The following is an 18,601-nucleotide window of genomic DNA, read 5'->3' on the forward strand; positions in this document are numbered from 1 at the left end:
ATGGCATGGAAACGGGAATGTGGAGTGGAGGGGAGAGTGCAGTGCTGTGGACAGAGATGGACCCGAGACTTCACAATACCAAGACATGGGTTCAGTCTCAACCACCCTTTTAGGCTTTTCTTGCCTCCTGGCTTAAGGGGATGTTGTTTGGTGTTTATATTTCTTGGCACTCTCCCTTCCCCACTTTTTTTTTTTTTTTTTTTTTTTTTTTTTAAGACAGAGTCTTGCTCTGTCACCCAGGCTGGAGTGCAGTGGAGCAATCTTGGCTCACTGCAACCTCTGCCTCCCAGGTTCAAGTGATTCTCCCGCCTCAGCCTCCCAAGTAGCTGGGATTACAGGTGCCTGTCACCACACCCAGCTAATTTTTGTATTTTTAGAAGAGATGGGGTTTCGCTATGTTGGCCAGGCTGGTCTCGAACTCCTGACCTCAGGTGATCTTCCTGCCTCATCCTCCCAAAGTGCTAGGATTACAGGCATAAGCCACTGCACCCAGCCCCCTTCCCCACTTTTTTTTTCTTTTTTTTTTTCTTGAGACAGAGTCTCACATTGTCGCCCAGGCTGGAGTGCAGTGGTGCGATCTTGGCTTACTGCAACCTCTGCCTCCCGGATTCAAGTGATTTTCCTGCCTCAGCCTCCTGGGTAGCTGGGACTACAGGCGCATGCCACCACGCCCAGCTAAATTTTTTGTATTTTTAGTAGAGACGAGGTTTCACTGTGTTAGCCAGGATGGTCTCGATCTCCTGACCTTGTGATCCGCCCTCCTCGGGGCCTCCCAAAGTGCTGGGATTACAGGCGTGAGCCACCATGCCTGGCCCCTTCCCTACTTTTAATCAAGAACTGACAAGTGACAGACTGGTGTGGAACACAGGCCAGACTTGTGAACAGTATCTGCTTACCCATTTGTCCCTCATCCCACTCTCTCCACCTGTGAAACAGGACATGATTCGACAGTGGATAAAGGTAGACTCCCTTGAATTACTGCCTCCCCAGATTGTTCTGTTAGAGAGCTATTGCTTTGGATCTTAAACATTTAGGCAGTTCCCCTCTCCCTGCCCGCCTGCAATCCCATCAACTCACAAATACATCTGTGAGTCTTTATATTATATTTGCACTTTTTTTTTCTTTTTTTGAGACAGAGTCTTGCACTGTCGCTTAGGCTGGAGTGCAATGGCGCGATCTCGGCTCACTGCAACTTCTGCCTCCTGGGTTCAAGCGATTCTCCTGCCTCAGACTCCCGAGTAGCTGAGATTACAGGTGCCCGCCACCACGCCCAGCTAATTTTTTGTATTTTTAGTAGAGATGGGGGTTTCGCTATGTTGGCCAGGCTGGTCTCGAACTCCTGACCTTGTGATCTGCCCGCCTCAGCCTCCCAAAGTGCTGGGATTACAGGCATCACCCACCGCGCCTGGCCTCTATTTGCACATTTATTGTGCATTTGTAGAGACCTACTATGTGCGGAGTCTGCTGGTAGGTGTTTTACATGCACTATCTCTTTTAATCCTCAGATTTGAAGTAAGTATCATTGACCTTACTCGTAAAGAAACTGATCTTTGAGAGGTGAAGTGGCTCCGTTAAAGGAACCACAGCCACTGTGTGCACTTAGAAGACATTTGTCCACTGAATCCATTTGTGCCAAGCTCCGTGTTCATTAAGAATATTTTTGCCTGCATGGAATAGAAACCCAAACCAACAATGGCTTAAATGGGTATATTTTATTATTTTTCACATAAAAAATCAAGAGGAGAGTAGTTCAGAGTTAGGGCAGTGGCTTAACTATATATCAAGTTATTTTCCATGTCACTATCCTTAAATTGGCTTGTGGTTTCTTGGTCCCAATACGGTTGCCATGACTGCAGACATCATATTCTTGATCCAGGTAGGAAGGAGAGGCAGCACCACAAGCTGCATCTGCCTGGATTTTTTTTGAGACAGTGTTTCACTCTGTTGCCCAGACTGGAGTGCAGTGGCGTGATCTTGGCCCACTGCAGCCTTCACCTCCTGGGTTCAAGTGATTCTCATGCCTCAGCCTCCTGAGTAGTTAGGATTATAGGCACCTGCCACCATGCCTTGCTAATCTTTTTTTTTTTTTTTGAGACGAAGTCTCACTCTGTCGCCTAGACTGGGAGTGCAGTGGCACGATCTCGGCTCACTGAGACGTCCGCCTCCTTCCTGAGTTCAAGTGATTCTTCTGCCTCAACCTCCCAAGTAGCTGGGATTACAGGCAAGCACCACCACGCCCACCTGATTTTTGTGTTTTTTTGTAGAGATGGGGTTTCACTATGTTGGCCAGGCTGGTTTCGAACTCCTGACCACAGGTGATCCATCCACCTTGGCCTCCCAAAGTGCTGGGATTACAGGCATGTGAGCCACCGTGCCTGGCCTAATCTTTGTATTTTTAGCAGAGATGGGGTTTCACCACGTTGACCAGGTTGGTCTGGAAACCCTGACTTCAGGTGATCCGCCCACCTCAGCCTCCCAAATTGCTGGGATTATAGGCATGAGCCACTGAGCCTGGCCTGCCTGGTTTGTTGTTGTTATTTCTTTTTCTTTCTTTCTTTTCTTTTCTTTTTTTTTTTTTTTTTTTTGGAGTTGGAGTTTTGCTCTGTCGCCCAGGCTGGAGTGCAGTGGTGCGATCTTGGATCACTGCGACCTCCGCCTCCTGGGTTCAAGCAATTCTCCTGCCTCAGCCTCCTGAGTAGCTGGGATTACAGGTGTCTGCCACCATGCCTGGCTAATTTTGTATTTTTAGTAGAGACAGGGTTTCACCATGTTGGCCAGGCTGTTCTTGAACTGCTGACTTCAAGTGATCTGACCACCTTGGCCTCCCAAAGTGCTGGGATTACAGGCGTGGGCCACTGCACCTGGCTCACGTCTAACTGTTTTATTAGCAAAGTAAAAGCCTCCCTAGAAGTCTTTCCCATTTCCCCTTAAGTTCTTAAATATTTTTTAAATCAGAATTGGGTCACATGGCCACTTTTAGCTGCAAAGGAAGCTGAGAAAGCAAGTCTCTGGCTTACTAGTTTTAAGGAGGGAAGCTGCCAGAGAGCTTGCATCTGCACTGTTGACGCCAATATCATGTTCTTTCCACTTTACTGGTGATTTTCCCTGTTCAGATTAAACACATAAAAACCCCAAGAGTTATTACTGTATCCACGTAACCCTTGTACTGTTGTTTTATTTTTAAATTTTCCCTTTTCTTTTCTTCTTCTTTTTTTTTTTTCTGGAGACGGAGTCTCTCTGTCACCCAGGCTGGAGTGCTATGGCATGATCTTGGCTCACTGCAACCTCTGCCTCCCCAGTTCAAGTGATTCTCCTGCTTCACCCTCCCGAGTAGCTGAGACTACAGGCATGCGTCACCACGCCCAGCTAATTTTTGTATTTTTAGTAGAGAAAGGGTTTTACCATGTTGGCCAGGCTGGTCTCGAACCCCTGACCTCAGGTAATCCACCTGCCTGAGCCTCCCAAAGTGTTGAGATTACAGGTGTAAGCCACCATGCCCGGCCACTTTTCCCCTTCTCAAAAGTTAAATATGTTTGTTTTGAAAGGAACCTTGCAAAAACTCTTTTGTAAACAAAACCAGTGTTGCTTGCTTTAAGTAGAAAAATAACAGTAAAAATTAAATACAATAAAAACAATCAGCTGCTACTACAACAGCTAATAGTCTGAGCATGAGGCTGTATTCCTCTGTTAAATTGGGAGATGAGCAGATGATGGAGATGTAGGTGTTAAAGTCATAGTGGCACCCAGCAGAGACTGTCTAGCAACTTCTGAAAGCTCCCATGAGGATTAGAAAGGAAACCATGCGCTTTAGTGCTGTGCCTGGATACCAGAGCCTCCTAAAGTCGTCTTGTGTCCCAGGTGGCTACCTCCCACCTCTCAGGATCTCAGCCCTGCCCCACTCAGTCTATCCTGTGCCAGGCACTGACTAGGTTCTAGGAAGGGGAACTGAGAGTGGAGGGGTGTATCCTCTGGGTAGAGTGGGATGGGGTTGGATGAGTGATGTAAATTGTGTTAGGGGGAGAGTCTCAGGCTTTTCTCCTATGCAAGGCATTGAATCAAGTCAATTGCCCTGGAGGGTTGGAAGTCATTTTGGCCCAGGAAATCAGCATAGGCTTCCTGGAAGAGGCCTTATTTAAACGGCTCTAAAAGGATGGGTGGGAATCAGGCAAATGGACATTGTGCTGGGGGTAAAGGGCTGTCTATGAAGAAGGAATAGCATGAAAAAGACACTCAAGTCATTGTATTTATTTGAGATTGTGAGACTGTGGTCAGGGTCTGCTGTATTGACTAGGTTGATTGTTTTTTGGGGGGTGTTTGGGAAGGCTTGAATACCTTGCCCAAGGCAAGGGACAGTGGGAGCTATTGATGATTTTAGTGCTGGGGAGTGATCAGACAGACCTTCCCAGGATTTGGAGCTTTGCCAGCCAGTGTAAGCTTATTCTTTCAGAAATCTATTTGTACTTGGAGGGAATTATTTCTTTATATTTCCTGCAATGCAATATGCACATCTCAGTCTCCCTAAGGAGAGAGCGTGTTATGCTTAGATTTTTCTGAGTCAAGCATTGTGCTGCTGTGTTTTATGTTGAATTGAGCTTTGGGGTTGAGTTTCCTCTGCAGTGAACACCAGTTCCAGGGCTGGGTCTTCCTTCCTGCCCCCTCTTCCTACACCAGGCTGGACACACACAGCCTCTGGGCTGGTTCCAGACTCACTTGTCTCTGTCAACTGTTCCAGTTGCCCTTGGAAACCTTCTAGTCAAGCTTATGATGATCCTGCCATAAAGCAGGGCCAGTAAAACTCCAAGTGAGGGCAAGGCCTGGTTTATTGCTCATTAGACATCTTTACTGGGTCTGCCCCAGGGGAGGGAGTAAGAACCCTGACCTCCAAAGCTTTGAATTGAGTCACCATGGGAGGTGTTTTCCTTACGTGTGATTCTGCATATATCCAAAGCTCCAGAAGAAACGTGCACCCTTGGAACCAAATAGCCCACTTCTAGGCAAAATTTCACTTGGGAAAATAATTGTATGTGGATGTTCATTGCAATGTTGGTTTTAAGGTTCACTAATTGACAGGTTGACCATTAAAGATCCAGTAGTGGGGGATGGGTTATCTAATATTTATATAATGGAATACGATGAAAGCTGTAGAAACTGCTGTATAGGGTGTATAGCTATTGTCCTGAAAGATGGTCATGACATAGTTTGAAATGAAACAATAACAACAAAAAACAAATTTCTAAATAGGATGCATGATCTGATTCCATTTTAATTTTGACCATGAGTTCCTGTTTTTGTTGGAAATGTCAACGTTGTTGTACATCAGAATAGTGGGATTTAGGAATTTTTTTTTGTTTTTTTTTGAGACAGGGTCTTACTCTGTCACCCAGGCTGGCGTGCCATGGTGCAGTCATAGCTCACTGCAGCCTCAAATTCATGGGCTCAAGCAATTCACCTCAGCCTCCCAAAGTGCTGGAACTACAAGCATACACCACCATACCCAGTAAGTTATTTTATCTTTCTTTCATAACGAATCTTGCTATGTTGACCAGGCTGGTTTCTAACTCCTGGCCTCAAGCTATCCTCCTGCCTTAGCCTCCCAAAGCATTGGGATCACAGGTGTGAGCCACCACACCTGGCTGGATTTACGATTATTAAAAACACTTTTGTTTGTGTGTATTGAATTTTTCTGTCGTTATCATGTGGAACGCCTAAAGAAGTCTAGTGGAGGGGTGAGGCTCAGCCAGAATACTGTAAGAGCTTTGGGTATTTGAAAGAGGACATCACACCCTTGGGGGAAGTCCAGTCTCTCAGGAGGCTAAGATCTCCTCAATCTAAAGCAGGGGTCAGCAAATTTTGTCTGTAAAGAGCTATAGTATGTATTTTAGGTTTTCTGGGCGATATGGCCTCTGTAACAACTACTCAACTCTGTCACTAAGGCAGAGTCATGGATAAAGGCTCTTGAAGGAAGCCATAGATAGTCTGGGCAACATGGCGAAAGCCCTTTTCTACAAAAAATTTAAAAAATTAGCAGGTCATGGTGGTGCATGCCTGTAGTCCCAACTAGTTAGGAGGCTGAGGTGGGAAGACTGCTTGAGCCCAGGAGATTGAGACTGCAGTGAGCTGAGATCATGCCTGGGACACACAGCAAGACCTTGTCCCTTAAAAAAAAAAAAAAAAAAAAAGGCAGCAGCAGCAGCAACCATAGATAATATGTAAATAAATGGCTGTGGGTGTGTTCCAATAAAACTTTATTTGCAAAACCAGGCAGTGGGCTAGTTTGGCCTGTGGACTCTAGTTTGCCAATTTTGGATCCAGAGAAAAACACGGGGGGAAACAGCAGCTTAATTAATGGTTTCAGTGAGTGGTCAGCCAGTCCAAAAATAGCATAAATTGTAGGAAGGAACAAGCCAATGAAAGTTGAAAAGGCGGAGGTTAAGCAGAGGGGTAAAGATAAGTTGTAACATTGTTTCTCCAGATCAGCAGCTGCACTTGGACAAGCGGCCTGGGGTGAGGCAGTTTGGATTATGCTTTAGAGGGCCTAAAAGGCAAATCAGCATATTAAAGGTTCTGAAAAGTCCTGCTGGAAAGACACCTGTTTATTCCCATTGTTGAACCCAGCATTTCTCACAGTCTTTTAATATACCACAGAATGCTTCTGTGGGTAATGGGTGTGTCCTACCCTACATCCCATGGTCCAGGGGAAGTTTGGGGAAGGCCATCTCAAGCTGTTCCCCTGGATCCCAGAGTCAGAAACACCAGATGTACCGCACTCTGATGGAATTTACACAGGAGTCAAGACTTTGCTAATTATGTCAATTCTTACAGAAACAGTACACACTCCGTACGAAAATGAGCTCTGCTGCTGCTGTCATTGCGAAGTAAGAATTTGATTTAACTCCCTCAACTATTTTTTATTGAGCACTGACTTTTTAAGGAATCACAGGGGCTTCTTTTTTTTCTTTTTTTTTTTCCCAGACGGAGTCTCGCTCTGTTGCCCAGGCTGGAGTGCAATGGTGTGATCTCGGCTCACTGCAACCACCACCTCCCGGGCTCAAGCGATTCTCCTGCCTCAGCCTCCCAAGTAGCTGGGATTACAGGCATGCGCCACCAAGCCTGGCTAATTTTTGCATTTTTAGTACAGATGGGGTTTCATCATATTGGCCAGGATGGTCTCGATCTCCTGACCTCGTGATCCGCCCGCCTCGGCCTCCCAAAGTGCTGGGATTACAGGCGTGAGCCACCGTGCCCAGCCAAGAATCACAGGGGCTCCCTTAAAAGAGACTAAGAACACACATCTCACAATCCAGAAAGTTGTTCTCCCTCCGGGGAATGTGTCAGTTGCAGAGAGAAGTGGAAAACACAGAACCGATGAGTCTTGGGGTTGAGCCGAATCAGAATCACGGAATCTTAAAAATGACAGGAAATTTAGCAAACCTGCTCAACCTCTTGTGTCTGAGGCCCAGACTAAGGCAGGGAGGGGCTGGCCCAAAGCCGTCACTGCAGGTTCGTAGAGGAGGTGGGACAAAAACTAGGGTGGAGGACATGGATTCCATTTTTACAAAATATCCAGAAATGACAAATCCAGACAGAAAGATTAGTGGTTGCCACGGGCTGGGGAAGAGGGGAATGGGGAGTGACTGCTAAGTGAGTATGGGATTTCCTTGGGGGTGATGAAAATGCTTTGCAACTACATAGGGGTGATGGTTGTGATGCACTTTAGGCCAGCCCCAGAATTGGGGCTTCACCTGGGAGGGTTCTTAGATTCACCCAGGAAGGAATTCAAGTGAGCCAGCGGTGTTAAACAGCAACTGTTATTGAAGCAGCAGCATACAGCAGCAGAGGTGCTGCCCCTCGCAGAGCAGGATTGGCCTATAGGCGGTGTGCCCAGAGTAGCAGCTCAGAGGCACTTCTGCAGTCATATTGATACCCACTTTTAATTATATGCAAATTAAGGGGGTGGTTTATGCAAAACTTCATAGAAAAGGGTGGTAACTTCTGGGTTGTCAGGTTGTTGCCCTAGAAAGGGGTGGTAATGGCTGGGCGCGGTGGCTCATGCCTGTAATCCCAGCAGTTTGGGAGGCTGAGGTGGGTGGATCACCTGAGGTCAGGAGTTCAAGACCAGCCTGGCCAACATGGCAAAACCCCGTCTCTACTAAAAATACAAAAGTTAGCTGGGCCTGGTGGCAGGCGCCTGTAGTCCCAGCTACCCAGGAGGCTGAGGCAGGAGAATTGCTGAAACCCAGAAGGCAGAGGCTGCAGTGAGCCGAGATTGCGCCACTGCACTCCAGCCTGGGCGACAGAGCAAGACTCCATCTCAAACAAACAAAAAAAGGGGGTGGTAACTTCTGGATGTTGCCATGGCAATGGTAGACTGACATGGCACACTGGTGGGCAGGTCTTACAGGGAGTTACTTCTGCCCTGACCTGTTTTAGCTAGTCCTCAATTTGGTCTAGTGTCTGAGCCTTGCTTCCAGAGTTTAATCCCACCTCCTACGTCAGTTGCATGATATAAATGTACTAAATGCCACTGCATTGTGAACTTGAAATGGTTGAAATAGTAAATTTTATGTTATGTGATTTTTACCCCAATTTTTTAAAAAGTAGGATGATTGAATAATTTATTGCCCAAACCTAGACATCTTAGAGAGTAAAATGGGCTTATCCCAGGTAAACCAGAAGGTGGGATCACCCTGACTAAAACCATCTTGTTCTGGCTCCTAAGCCAGGGCTTCTTACTCCCCCATGCAACCTGGACTCAAGTTTACAAAAGTGTCTTCGGTGTAACAAGTGTTACATGTGCCCCATCAGGGCACCTCCCATTTTTAGAAAGTTGAACTTCTCCACAGTCCTGCTTTCCCCCACAGAGGGTAAATGAATAGTGCTTGCGCTCTAATAACCATGTTTATCTCATGCCTTTGGGCCTTTGCATATGTGTTTCCTCTGCTGACACCAACCTCCTCCTCCTCCTCCTCCTCCTCTGCTTGGCTGGCTTCTCTCAGTCTCAGTTGCGATACCTTCTCTTCTAGGAAAGCTCCCCTGACCACTCTTTCTTTGGGCTTCTATAACCCCCCTGTCTGCCCCCATCAGGGCACCTCCCAAATTTCAGTGTTTCCTTTCCTCCTCCCCTACTAGAGTGTGTCACCACTGTGATTAGGAACGTTCCCACCGCATTCCCTGTCCAGGCATAGCCCAGCGTAGACCATGAGGGCTTTTAATAGAGATTCGCCTGAAGGGCATGGGCCCCCCGACGTGGTAATTAGAGCTTAAGCATTTGGTTCCCGTTATGTTTGTTTTTTAGTTGTTTGTAGGTTTTTGCTTTTTTTTTTTAATTGCAGTAAAATGTCCATCACCTGAAATTTACCATTTTAACCATCTTTAAGTATACAGTTTGGTGGTATTAAGTACATTCACATTGTTGTGTGACCATCATCACCATCCATCTCTAGAACTTTTTCATCTTCTCATTTTGAAACTCCGTATCCATTAAACAATAACTCCCCATTCCCCAGCGCTGGCAACCACCATTGTACTTTCTGTCTTTATGAATTTGCCTATTCTAAACACCTCATGTAAATGAAATTATGCATACAGTATTTGTCCTTACATGTCTGCTTATTTCACTTAGCAAAATGTCTTCAAGGGTCATCCGTATTGTAGCATATTGTAGAATTTCCTTCCTTTTGAAGGCTGAATAACATTCCATTGTATAAGGATAGATTATATTTTGTTTATCCATCCATTGATGGACATTTAATTGTTTACACGTTTTGGTTATGATGAATAATACTGCTTCAAACATTGGTGTACAAATATCTGCTTTCAATTTTAGGGGGGTATACTCTTAGGAGTAGAATTTCAAGATTCTGTGTTTAATTTTTTGAGGAACTGCCATACTGATTTCCACAGTGGATGTGCCATTTTATATTCACAACACCAGCAAGGTATAAGGTTCCAGTGTCTTCACATCCTCTCCAATAGTTGTTTTGTGTGTGTGTGTGTGTGTGTGTGTGTGTGTGTGTGTGTGTGTTTTAATTAAGTAATAGCCACTCTCATGGGTGGGAAGTGCCTTTTACATTTGAACACTGTAACAAGCAGTTGTTTTAGTTAAGCCCATGTGGATTTTGGTAGAAATCTGACAGGAAGGCAGGGGTGGGATCCACAATTCCAGCCACCCATGGGCAAGTCACAGCACTCCTCCAGCCTCAGTTTACTCATCTGTAGAATGGAAGTTGTAATAGGACCTGCCTCTTTGGGATGGTAAAGGGATGAAATGAAATAATCCTTGTAAAGCATTTAGTGTAGTGTCTGGCACATGGTGTGAGCTTAATAAACGATAGTTATTTTTATGCTTTGCTTCTGAAAGCAGGCAGGAGACAGTCTTAGCACCTCTACCTTTCAAATTGATGATGGAAAGACAGCTCAGAGGAAAACCTCTGGTATTGAGATGTAAAAAAAAAATTGCACAAACAACATTCATGGACATAAAAGGAATTTAAAAATTTATCAACAAGTCCAACCCAGGTCTCCAACATGTTTTTTTTTTTCCATTGTCCCTGTTCTCTTCCAGACCTCTGTCATTTGTATAAACAACCTTTGCTATTGTCATGACCTTGAATACAAAAAAAAAAAAATCCCTTCTGCTTCCCCTACCAATTATCCTAAGTGCTTCCACTTTCCTGTGCATACCCCCTTACCTTTGGCTGAGATATGTTCTTTAAGAGTTTCCCTATTATAGTTAAGGCAACCATTTTTTCTGATTCCAAACTAAAGACTTGTGATGTGATGGGATTTTTGTGCAGGCTGGGAATTGGAGGTCTGCTCTTCCTACTGACAGGTTGCAGCTTTTGTGACATTTCCCATGCTTGTAAGTCCTGGGTTGTTTCAACTAGGTGTTATTGCCTGTGGTATGTTCTTGCTGTGTTTGGTTAGATAACACTGCAAAGGACATCTTTGTGCATATAACTTTTCTTTTGGATTACTTCCAGAGGATACATTTTTAAAAGTGGGATTACTGAGTTGAAAAGAAGTAAGTGTTTTGCCCGGGGTGAGGGGAAAATATTTGATTTGGAGTCAGAAGACCTGGATTCCAACCCCACCTCTACCCCTCACTAGCAGTGGGAACTTGAACTGGCTGTTTCTGGACCATATTTTTTTTCTCATCTGTTAGAATGGTGGTAATTAATCATTTGAACAGCACAAGTTGTTGAGAAGATGAATGAGAGAAGGCACAAGATGCACAGTCATTTAGCATGGTGCCTAACTCTTGATGTGGGTCTCAAAAATGTTGTTGAAAGTGAATATTGCCGAATTGCTTTTACAATTTACATTGTCGCTAGGACCAGGTAAGGAAATCCATTTTCCCACACTCACGTCTACATTGAATATTATTTTCTTCTCTTCAGGTGTTTTTTGCACACCGACTTTATGCCCCTTATGGTTCAGACTCCAGATATAGCCATGAACAGGACCCAGGACCCTTCTTGCTAGGAGCTCACAGTCTAGTGGAGGAAACAGAGGTAGTCACCAGGTATTCCTCAGTGCTGGGTGAAGGGGAAGCAGGAAGTGAGATATTGCAGCACAGAGGAGCACCTGAACAAGCCCCACTCATGGAGCATTAGAGAAGGCCTCCTGGAGGAGGTGGCATTGAGATTAGCTAGGCAGTGAGCTAAGGGCAGTGCAGAGGCATGAAGGCGAGAAAGCGTACACTGTGTTTTGTGGCCTGTCTGGGGTTCATTGTGCTGAAGTACGTGAGTGTCTGTGACAGACAGATGGGGTGGTGTCAGTCATTATAATGAAGCTGGGGAGACGAAGAGGATCTGGATCCTGTAGGGCCTCGGGGAAGAAGTGTGGCCTTTATTCAGAAAGCATCAGGGAGACACGGGGGCGTTAAGCAGGGGAATGACATCCTGGCGCTTGCACGTTGGAGACACCCCTGGCTACTGCTAGGTGAATGGATTGGAGGAGGCCACAGCTGAGGCAGAATCGTCAGTGAGGAGGCTGATTTTATTTTATTTTTAAGACAGGGTCTGGCTTTGTCATACAGGCGGGAGGGCTGTGATGTGATCTTGGCTCACTGCAACCTCAGCCTCCCCGGCTCAGACAATCCTCAGCCTCCTGAGTAGCTGGGACTATAGGCATGCACCACTACACCTGGCTAATTTTTGTATTTTTTAGTAGAGATGGGTTTTTGCCATGTTGCCCAGGCTGGTCTTGAACTCCTGGGCTCAAGTGATCCTCCCACCTCCGCCTCCCAAAGTGCTGGGATTATAGGCATGAGACATTGCGCCTGGCCAGAGGCTGATTTTAAATGTCCCTTCTCAGTGAAATCTTCCCTAGCTAACCTTTCTCACATTCTCTCTTTTTCTGTCACTTATGTAACATTCTGGAGCTTGTCCTTACCTTTTTTTTTTTTTTTTGTCCTTTTTTTCATCTTTGTGAATGTCCATTCCATGGGAACAGGGTTTTCTATTTGTTTTGTTCACTGCTGTGTCCCTAGCGCCTGGCCCAGAGCCTGGTACATAGATGCTTGATAATTGTGTATTGGAAGGAAGGAAGGAAGGAGCTAGGGCCACAGTCATGAGGATACAGATGAGAGGATGCACATACTCCAGTGATACTTGACATTTTGATTGGGGCCCTTTCTGGAGGACAGACCTCCTGTGCACAGCAGCCCTTCTCTGGGAGGACACCAGCGTGCACTTTGCCAATCCGTTCCTGGCTCTTTTTCATTTTTTTTTTGGGATGGAGTCTCGCTCTGTTGCCCAGGCTGGAGTGCAGTGGTGCGATCTCAGCTCCCTGCAAGCTCCACCTCCCGGGTTCACGCCATTCTCCTGCCTCAGCCTCCCGAGTAGCTGAGACTACAGGCACCCGCCACCACGCCCAGCTAATTTTTTGTATTTTTAGTAGAGATGGGGTTTCACCGTGGTCTCGATCTCCTGACCTCGTGATCTGCTCGCCTCAGCCTCCCAAAGTGCTGGGATTACAGGCCTGAGCCACCGTGCCTGGCCCCGTTCCTGGCTCTTTGCATGGCTCACTGCACAGGATGGATTTGCAGATTTGGGGACTAAGGTCACATTCCGGAAGATGCTGGAAGGTGTCAGGACCAGCCCACGCCCCTCACCAGATGGTGGCATTCCCAGGAGGTGGCAGCCAGAGACGACTGAATAAATGACTGATAAGCTCTCAGATCGAATTTAAGGGTGTAATTATGAAAGATCTTAAACAGCTGTTAGAATGAATCAACACCTCTGAATCTGGGAGAAAAGCTGCCAAACTGTTTGGTTTTGAATGGAAGTGCTTTTCTTCCCTTCTCTCTTGTGAGGCTTCAAGCTCAGTGGCTGTGTCCCCAGCACCAAGTACAGAACCTGGTGCTTGGGAGGGAGGCAGTGAGCATTGGCAGAAGTAGGGTCACAAGAGTGGACAAATGAATGCTTTCGAATGACTCCTGTTGAATTTCAGCACCTGTTGCTCTTGGGTGACCCCCTTCTCAGACAAATGATTTTTTTTCCTGCATGAAATAGCAGAAAATGGGAATCTTGCACTTTGCAAATTAAGCTTGGGGAGATCAAGCTTGTGGACTTGGCAAGTTCAGCAACAGTAGAGAAACACTCATTGCTAGCCCACTGCCTGGGGTCAGCCTGATGTCCCCTCTCTCACGGTCCTGCCACAGCCTCCTGACCTTCCCAGATGGATGCCTTTGTTCTCCATCTGTTCACCGTGCTGCCCTCCATGATAATTTACATACATATGAAACTAGAGGTGGCTCAGACTTGGTTTCCCTTCTTTCTCTGGGGAGGTCTTGTTGACTTGGCTTTGGTCATAATGGTCAGCTAATACACTGTTTAAAAAAGAGGCCGAGGCCGGGCGCGGTGGCTCACGCCTGTAATCCCAGCACTTTGGGAGGCCGAGGCGGACGGATTACGAAGTCAGGAGATCCAGACCATCCTGGCTAACACGGTGAAACCCCGTCTCTACTAAAAATACAAAAAAAAATTAGCTGGGTGTGGTGCTGGGTGCCTGTAGTCCCAGCTACTTGGGAGGCTGTGGCAGGAGAATCACTTGAACCTGGGAGGCGGAGGTTGCAATGAGCTGAGATAGTGCCATTGCACTCTAGCCTGCGTGACACACCGAGACTCTGTCTCTAAATAAATAAACAGCCAGATGTGGTGGTAGGTGCCTGTAATCCCAGCTTCACGGAGGTTAAGGCACGAGAATCACTTGAACCTGGAAGGTGGAGTTTGCAGTGAGCCGAGATTGTGCCACTGGACTCCAGCCTGGGCTACAAAGTGAGACTGTCTAAAAATATAAAAATAAAAAATAAAATAAATAAAAAATAGTGGACATGTCCACCCCAAGAATAAACAGCATCTAGCCTCTCCGTGAGTGGGCTTCAGAAAGGTTTTCAAAGAGGCTAACATCTCTTAAATCAAGTGTAACATATGTGATAACATTTAAAAGAAGACTTCAAAGCATACAGTTAAATTGGTTTCCCTGTATTTTACAGCAGGTTAAATGAAAACCTGAGAATCATAGGTTTCTAGGTTTGGCTAGGACTTTAAAATATTACGGAGCCATCTACTATGGTGGTTTAAAAACTCCTTTTACTAGGCCGGGTGCGGTGGCTCAATCCCAGCACTTTGGAAGGCCGAGGCGGGCGGATCACAAAGTCAGGATTTCAAGACCAGCCTGGCCAACATAGTGAAACCCCGTCTCTACCAAAAATATAAAAATCAGGCAGGTGTGGTGGCATGCACCTGTAGTCCCAGCTACTCAGGAGGCTGAGGCGGGAGAATTGCTCGAACCTGGGAGGCAGAGGTTGCAGTGAGCTGAGATCACGCCATTGCACTCCAGCCTGGGTGACAGAGTGAAACTCTGTTTCAAAAAAAAAAAATCCCAAAAAACTCCTTTTACTTTTCTTTGTTCATTGATTTATTAATTCATTCATTGACTCATTTGTGCAACTGTGTTTACATATCAGACATCTGCTAGGCATTTGCAATGGTAACTTGAGAGGCAGTTCAAGATACAAAGCAGATGACGGGTCACAGAGGCACTGTTTGGTGTAGAGGAGCGTGGACCAAGGGACTTAATTTATCTTGTCCTTCTCCTTTTACTTCCATGCAGTATAGTCCCTGAGGTGGGTTCAAGGTTCCCAAAGTGGGGTGACATTTGTGTACCATTGATCCTAATTCAGCAAACAGTTGCTCTTGGTGACTCTTTTCCCAGGAAAATCCATGCAGAGAAGCATTCATTCCACATTTGGGCAGGTGAGCTGGTGTGACAGTGTGAGGTTAATGTGGATGTAGCAGGTGCCTGCCCTCGGGGTGGAGCTCCTCTGTGTGGCCCAGTGAAACTGATAGAGGTCTTTGGGTGAGGGTTGGTAGATTGAGCCTCTGGCTTGTGAAACTGATAGGGGTCCCTGGGTGAGGATTGGTGGATTGAGCCTCTGGCTGAGCACTTCACAGCTTTTTGATTCTGTCATTCAGTAGCCACAGCCACAGCTAGAGTAACTCATCTTATGTCCCAGATTGCTTAGAGTCATTTGGCATGAGACTCATGGTATCTGGACTTATTTAGCATCTTAGAGAGTGGGCAGCAGGGGCAGAAGAATATTTCTTCATTCATTTACTTATTAACTCAGCAATGATTTATTTCTCTATTCAGTAATCATGTATCTGGTGCTTTTATGTGCCAGGCTGCTGTGCTAGCCACTAGGGATTTGGGGTGTCCTCTGGCGGGGCTTACCATTGAATGGGAGAGGCTGATGTGAAGGATGATGTCGTATTAAATGTAACAGTGTAGCTATGCTAAGTCCTGCCAAGCCTCCGAGTGTATGTGGTGCTCTGTGAACAGGTAGGAGGGGGTTGTACCGGGTTGAAGGGAGACAGAGATGTGTGAACTGTGGTCTGTGTCTGTGTGTGAGCAAGATGGTTGTCCCAGAGAACAGGCATAGCATGTGCAAAGGCCCTGAGGAGGCATTTGGAGGGCTTCAAAGAGGTACAATGTCCAAATACCGCTAATGTAGCTACCAAGTGAAGCACATCACTTGGTAGCAGCTACCAAGTGAAGCACATCACTTGGTAGCAGCTACCAAGTGAGTCAGCACCTCGAATGCTCAGTAGCTACCTCCTCTAAGTCAAGTGAGTTATGCAGGACCACCAGTTCCAATTCTAGGCAATCAGTCCTATTTGCCCCCACATCCTGCATTTAAAAAGTGACATTTGTTACCCAGTTGTAATTGCTTGTGTGTGTATGTGTGTTTCTTACAGAAGACTGTGAGTTGCATGGTTGCAGGGGATGTTTCATGCTCATCTTTGTACACACCGTAGGTGCTTAATAAATGTATCAGAGAACAGGGAAGATTTTTATTGAGCACGTACTGTGGGCTCAGCACTATTTATGCACACGTACATATAAGGCTACAAAATCGAAAAGCCAAAAGGAGCATACGTTTTACAAGCTGGAGTAGATGCCAGCGGATGCATTTGGAGCTTGAAAGCTTTTGTGCCGTCTGTTCCCATACTGCCAGAACTCCGGAACTGAGGCTGTCATCCTGTGTCTCCTTAGACCTGCTGAAACTCAGCCTGCTGGGACGAGTCTTCTTTCCCCCTTCTTGTTTCTGCCATGGAAGTGTGTGGACAGCCCCATTCATGATGACATGTGACACTACTGGCTTTTCCCGGCAGTCACACCCCCTGACCCAGGGCCTGCCAGCTTGGGTAAGTGGGGCCCATGCTTGACCCAAGCTTGAGGGCTGGAGTGTCCAAGGGCATGGAGAGTGCCTGTGAGTTCTGCCAGAGAATTTTCTCTCTGTCCTTTGAATCCTGTCATTGTTCTGTGTCTCATGTCCTGGCTATTACATATGTATCCTCAATCAGGGTTTCCAGAGGTCACAGCTGCTCTCCCAAAAGGCCAATGGCCCTGATTCTGGGTGGGATTCTGGAGCCTTAGAACTCTGGTTGGGATCTTTGTGTATGGAAATTCTCCAATTCTCAGATTCTTCATATCTGTCCCTCCATTCTACCTCTAACCGTGTCTAGACAGTGTTCTCCAGTTTGGGGAGATGGAATCTGTTAGCACCATCGAGCGTGTAAGGAAGAGAAAATATCAAAATCTGTCTGCCTTTCTTTCCTGGAGGCTGCTGAGTGAGTCAGAGCCGGGGGAGCAGTGTGGGGCCCCAAGGAAGGGAAGTGGAGAGGCTTGTGTTTAACTAAAATACCTTCTACTTTTTTAGTCCATCTAGGTGGGGGCTGGCTGGGGGCAGTTTCACAGGGAAGAAAACACTGGCATGAAGAGAGCCTGGGGGATCGAGAACAGCAACTTACCTGGCACTTTTTAAGACCAGAAAGGAATAAAAAATAATTTTTAAAAAGACAGAGCTGAGGCTGGGTGTGGTGGCTCAAGCCTGTAATCTCAGCACTTTGGGAGGCTGAGGTGGGCGGATCCCCTGAGGTCAGGAGTTCGAGACCAGCCTGGCCAACATGGAGAAACCCCACCTCTACTAAAACCACAAAATTACCTGGGCGTGGTGGCACATGCCTGTAATCCCAGCTACTCCGGAAGCTGAGGCAGGAGAATGGCTTGAACCTGGGAGGCAGAAGTTGCTGTGAGCCAAGGTCGCGCCATTGCACTCCAGCCTGGGCAGCAAGAGTGAAACTTGGTCTCAAAAAAAAAAAAAGACAGAGCTAAGTGGGTGGTGGACTTGAGGTTAGGTTTCAGCTGGGTGATCGTAGGCAAGTCTGGCGACCTCTCTGGGCCCTTTCCCTTCATCTCCATGAGGGAGATAACGATCATTCCTTCATTCTTGACTTTTGGAGTTGCTGGAGGGTTAATGAGAGAGGAGGTCCCCTGCTTTGCGAAAACAGATCTCATAGCAGGGTGAACAAGAGGCTTATGCCCCAAGCTACTACAAAATGGGGTCTCCTAATTGTACCCACTAAATAGGGTTGTGAGGAGGATGAGATGTATAAAACACAAGAAGCATGTGGCATAGCTCGAGATCTCACTCATGGGAAGACCTCACTGTTGGGCGTTTCTCTTTCTATTAAGAGTATGAAGGCAGTCAGCATAATATGCGTGTTCAACAGAAAAGAACCACAAAGCAAACAAATAATGAAAGCAGGTTGAGTGAGAAAAATGAGAATGGCTTCTTTTTATGGCATCTGGAAGGGTGGGGGAGGGGAAAGAAAAGGGACAAAGGGATGATTGGGTGGGGTTGGTGCCTAGGGCATGGGTTCCAAGGTCACTAACCAGCTTTGTGCTCCCAGGCACTCCTGAGCTGCATTGCTGTGTGACCTGCAGCAGGTTACTTGCCTTCTCTGTGCTAGATGCTTAGCACACACTTGTGATTAGGATCACCTGGGATGTGGGCAGGCTCTGCAGTGGGAAAACAGGGTAACAGGAGTGAGGGAATGTGAGGACGCTCCCACTGAGGCCTATTCAGGGAGGAGCATGTGTGGTGTGAATTTGGTGTCAAACCTGGTTTTAAGTCCTGACTTCGCCTCTTGCTTCCTGGGTGACTCCAGTTACTTGGCCTCTCTGAGCTGGTTTCCTTATCTGTGTAGCAGAGATCACTGCTTTTTGCCATTAAGTGCTGGCCTCTAGA

The 18,601-nt window shown here is 46.5% G+C and overlaps 1 protein-coding gene across 6 annotated transcripts in view, besides 1 other annotated feature; it reads left to right on the forward strand.

The window, feature by feature from the left end:
• Nucleotides 1-18,601, forward strand: part of KIAA1671 — a 244,733-nt gene that overhangs the window by 56,354 nt on the left and 169,778 nt on the right. For 2 of the 6 annotated variants that reach the window (NM_001145206.2, NM_001386930.1), the window contains exon 2: nt 16,564-16,715. The gene's annotated coding sequence lies outside the window, so the exon portion shown is untranslated. Of the gene's footprint in view, nt 1-5,360; nt 5,498-6,822; nt 6,876-16,563; nt 16,716-18,601 lie in introns of those variants that run through there. The other 4 variants (XM_006724346.3, NM_001386933.1, XM_047441556.1 and 1 more) reach the window with 4 other exon arrangements.
• Nucleotides 16,879-18,078: an enhancer, noted in NCBI's record as "CDK7 strongly-dependent group 2 enhancer chr22:25421915-25423114 (GRCh37/hg19 assembly coordinates)". NCBI's record gives its function as "activates an origin of replication core promoter dependent on BRD2, BRD4, P300/CBP, MED14 and CDK7 cofactors, with strong dependence on CDK7, by STARR-seq in HCT116 cells {active_cell/tissue: HCT116}" and the evidence as "EXISTENCE:reporter gene assay evidence [ECO:0000049][PMID:35650434]".

This window comes from Homo sapiens, chromosome 22, assembly GCF_000001405.40.
Source record: "Homo sapiens chromosome 22, GRCh38.p14 Primary Assembly".
In the NCBI taxonomy this organism is placed as follows: Eukaryota; Metazoa; Chordata; class Mammalia; order Primates; family Hominidae; genus Homo; species Homo sapiens.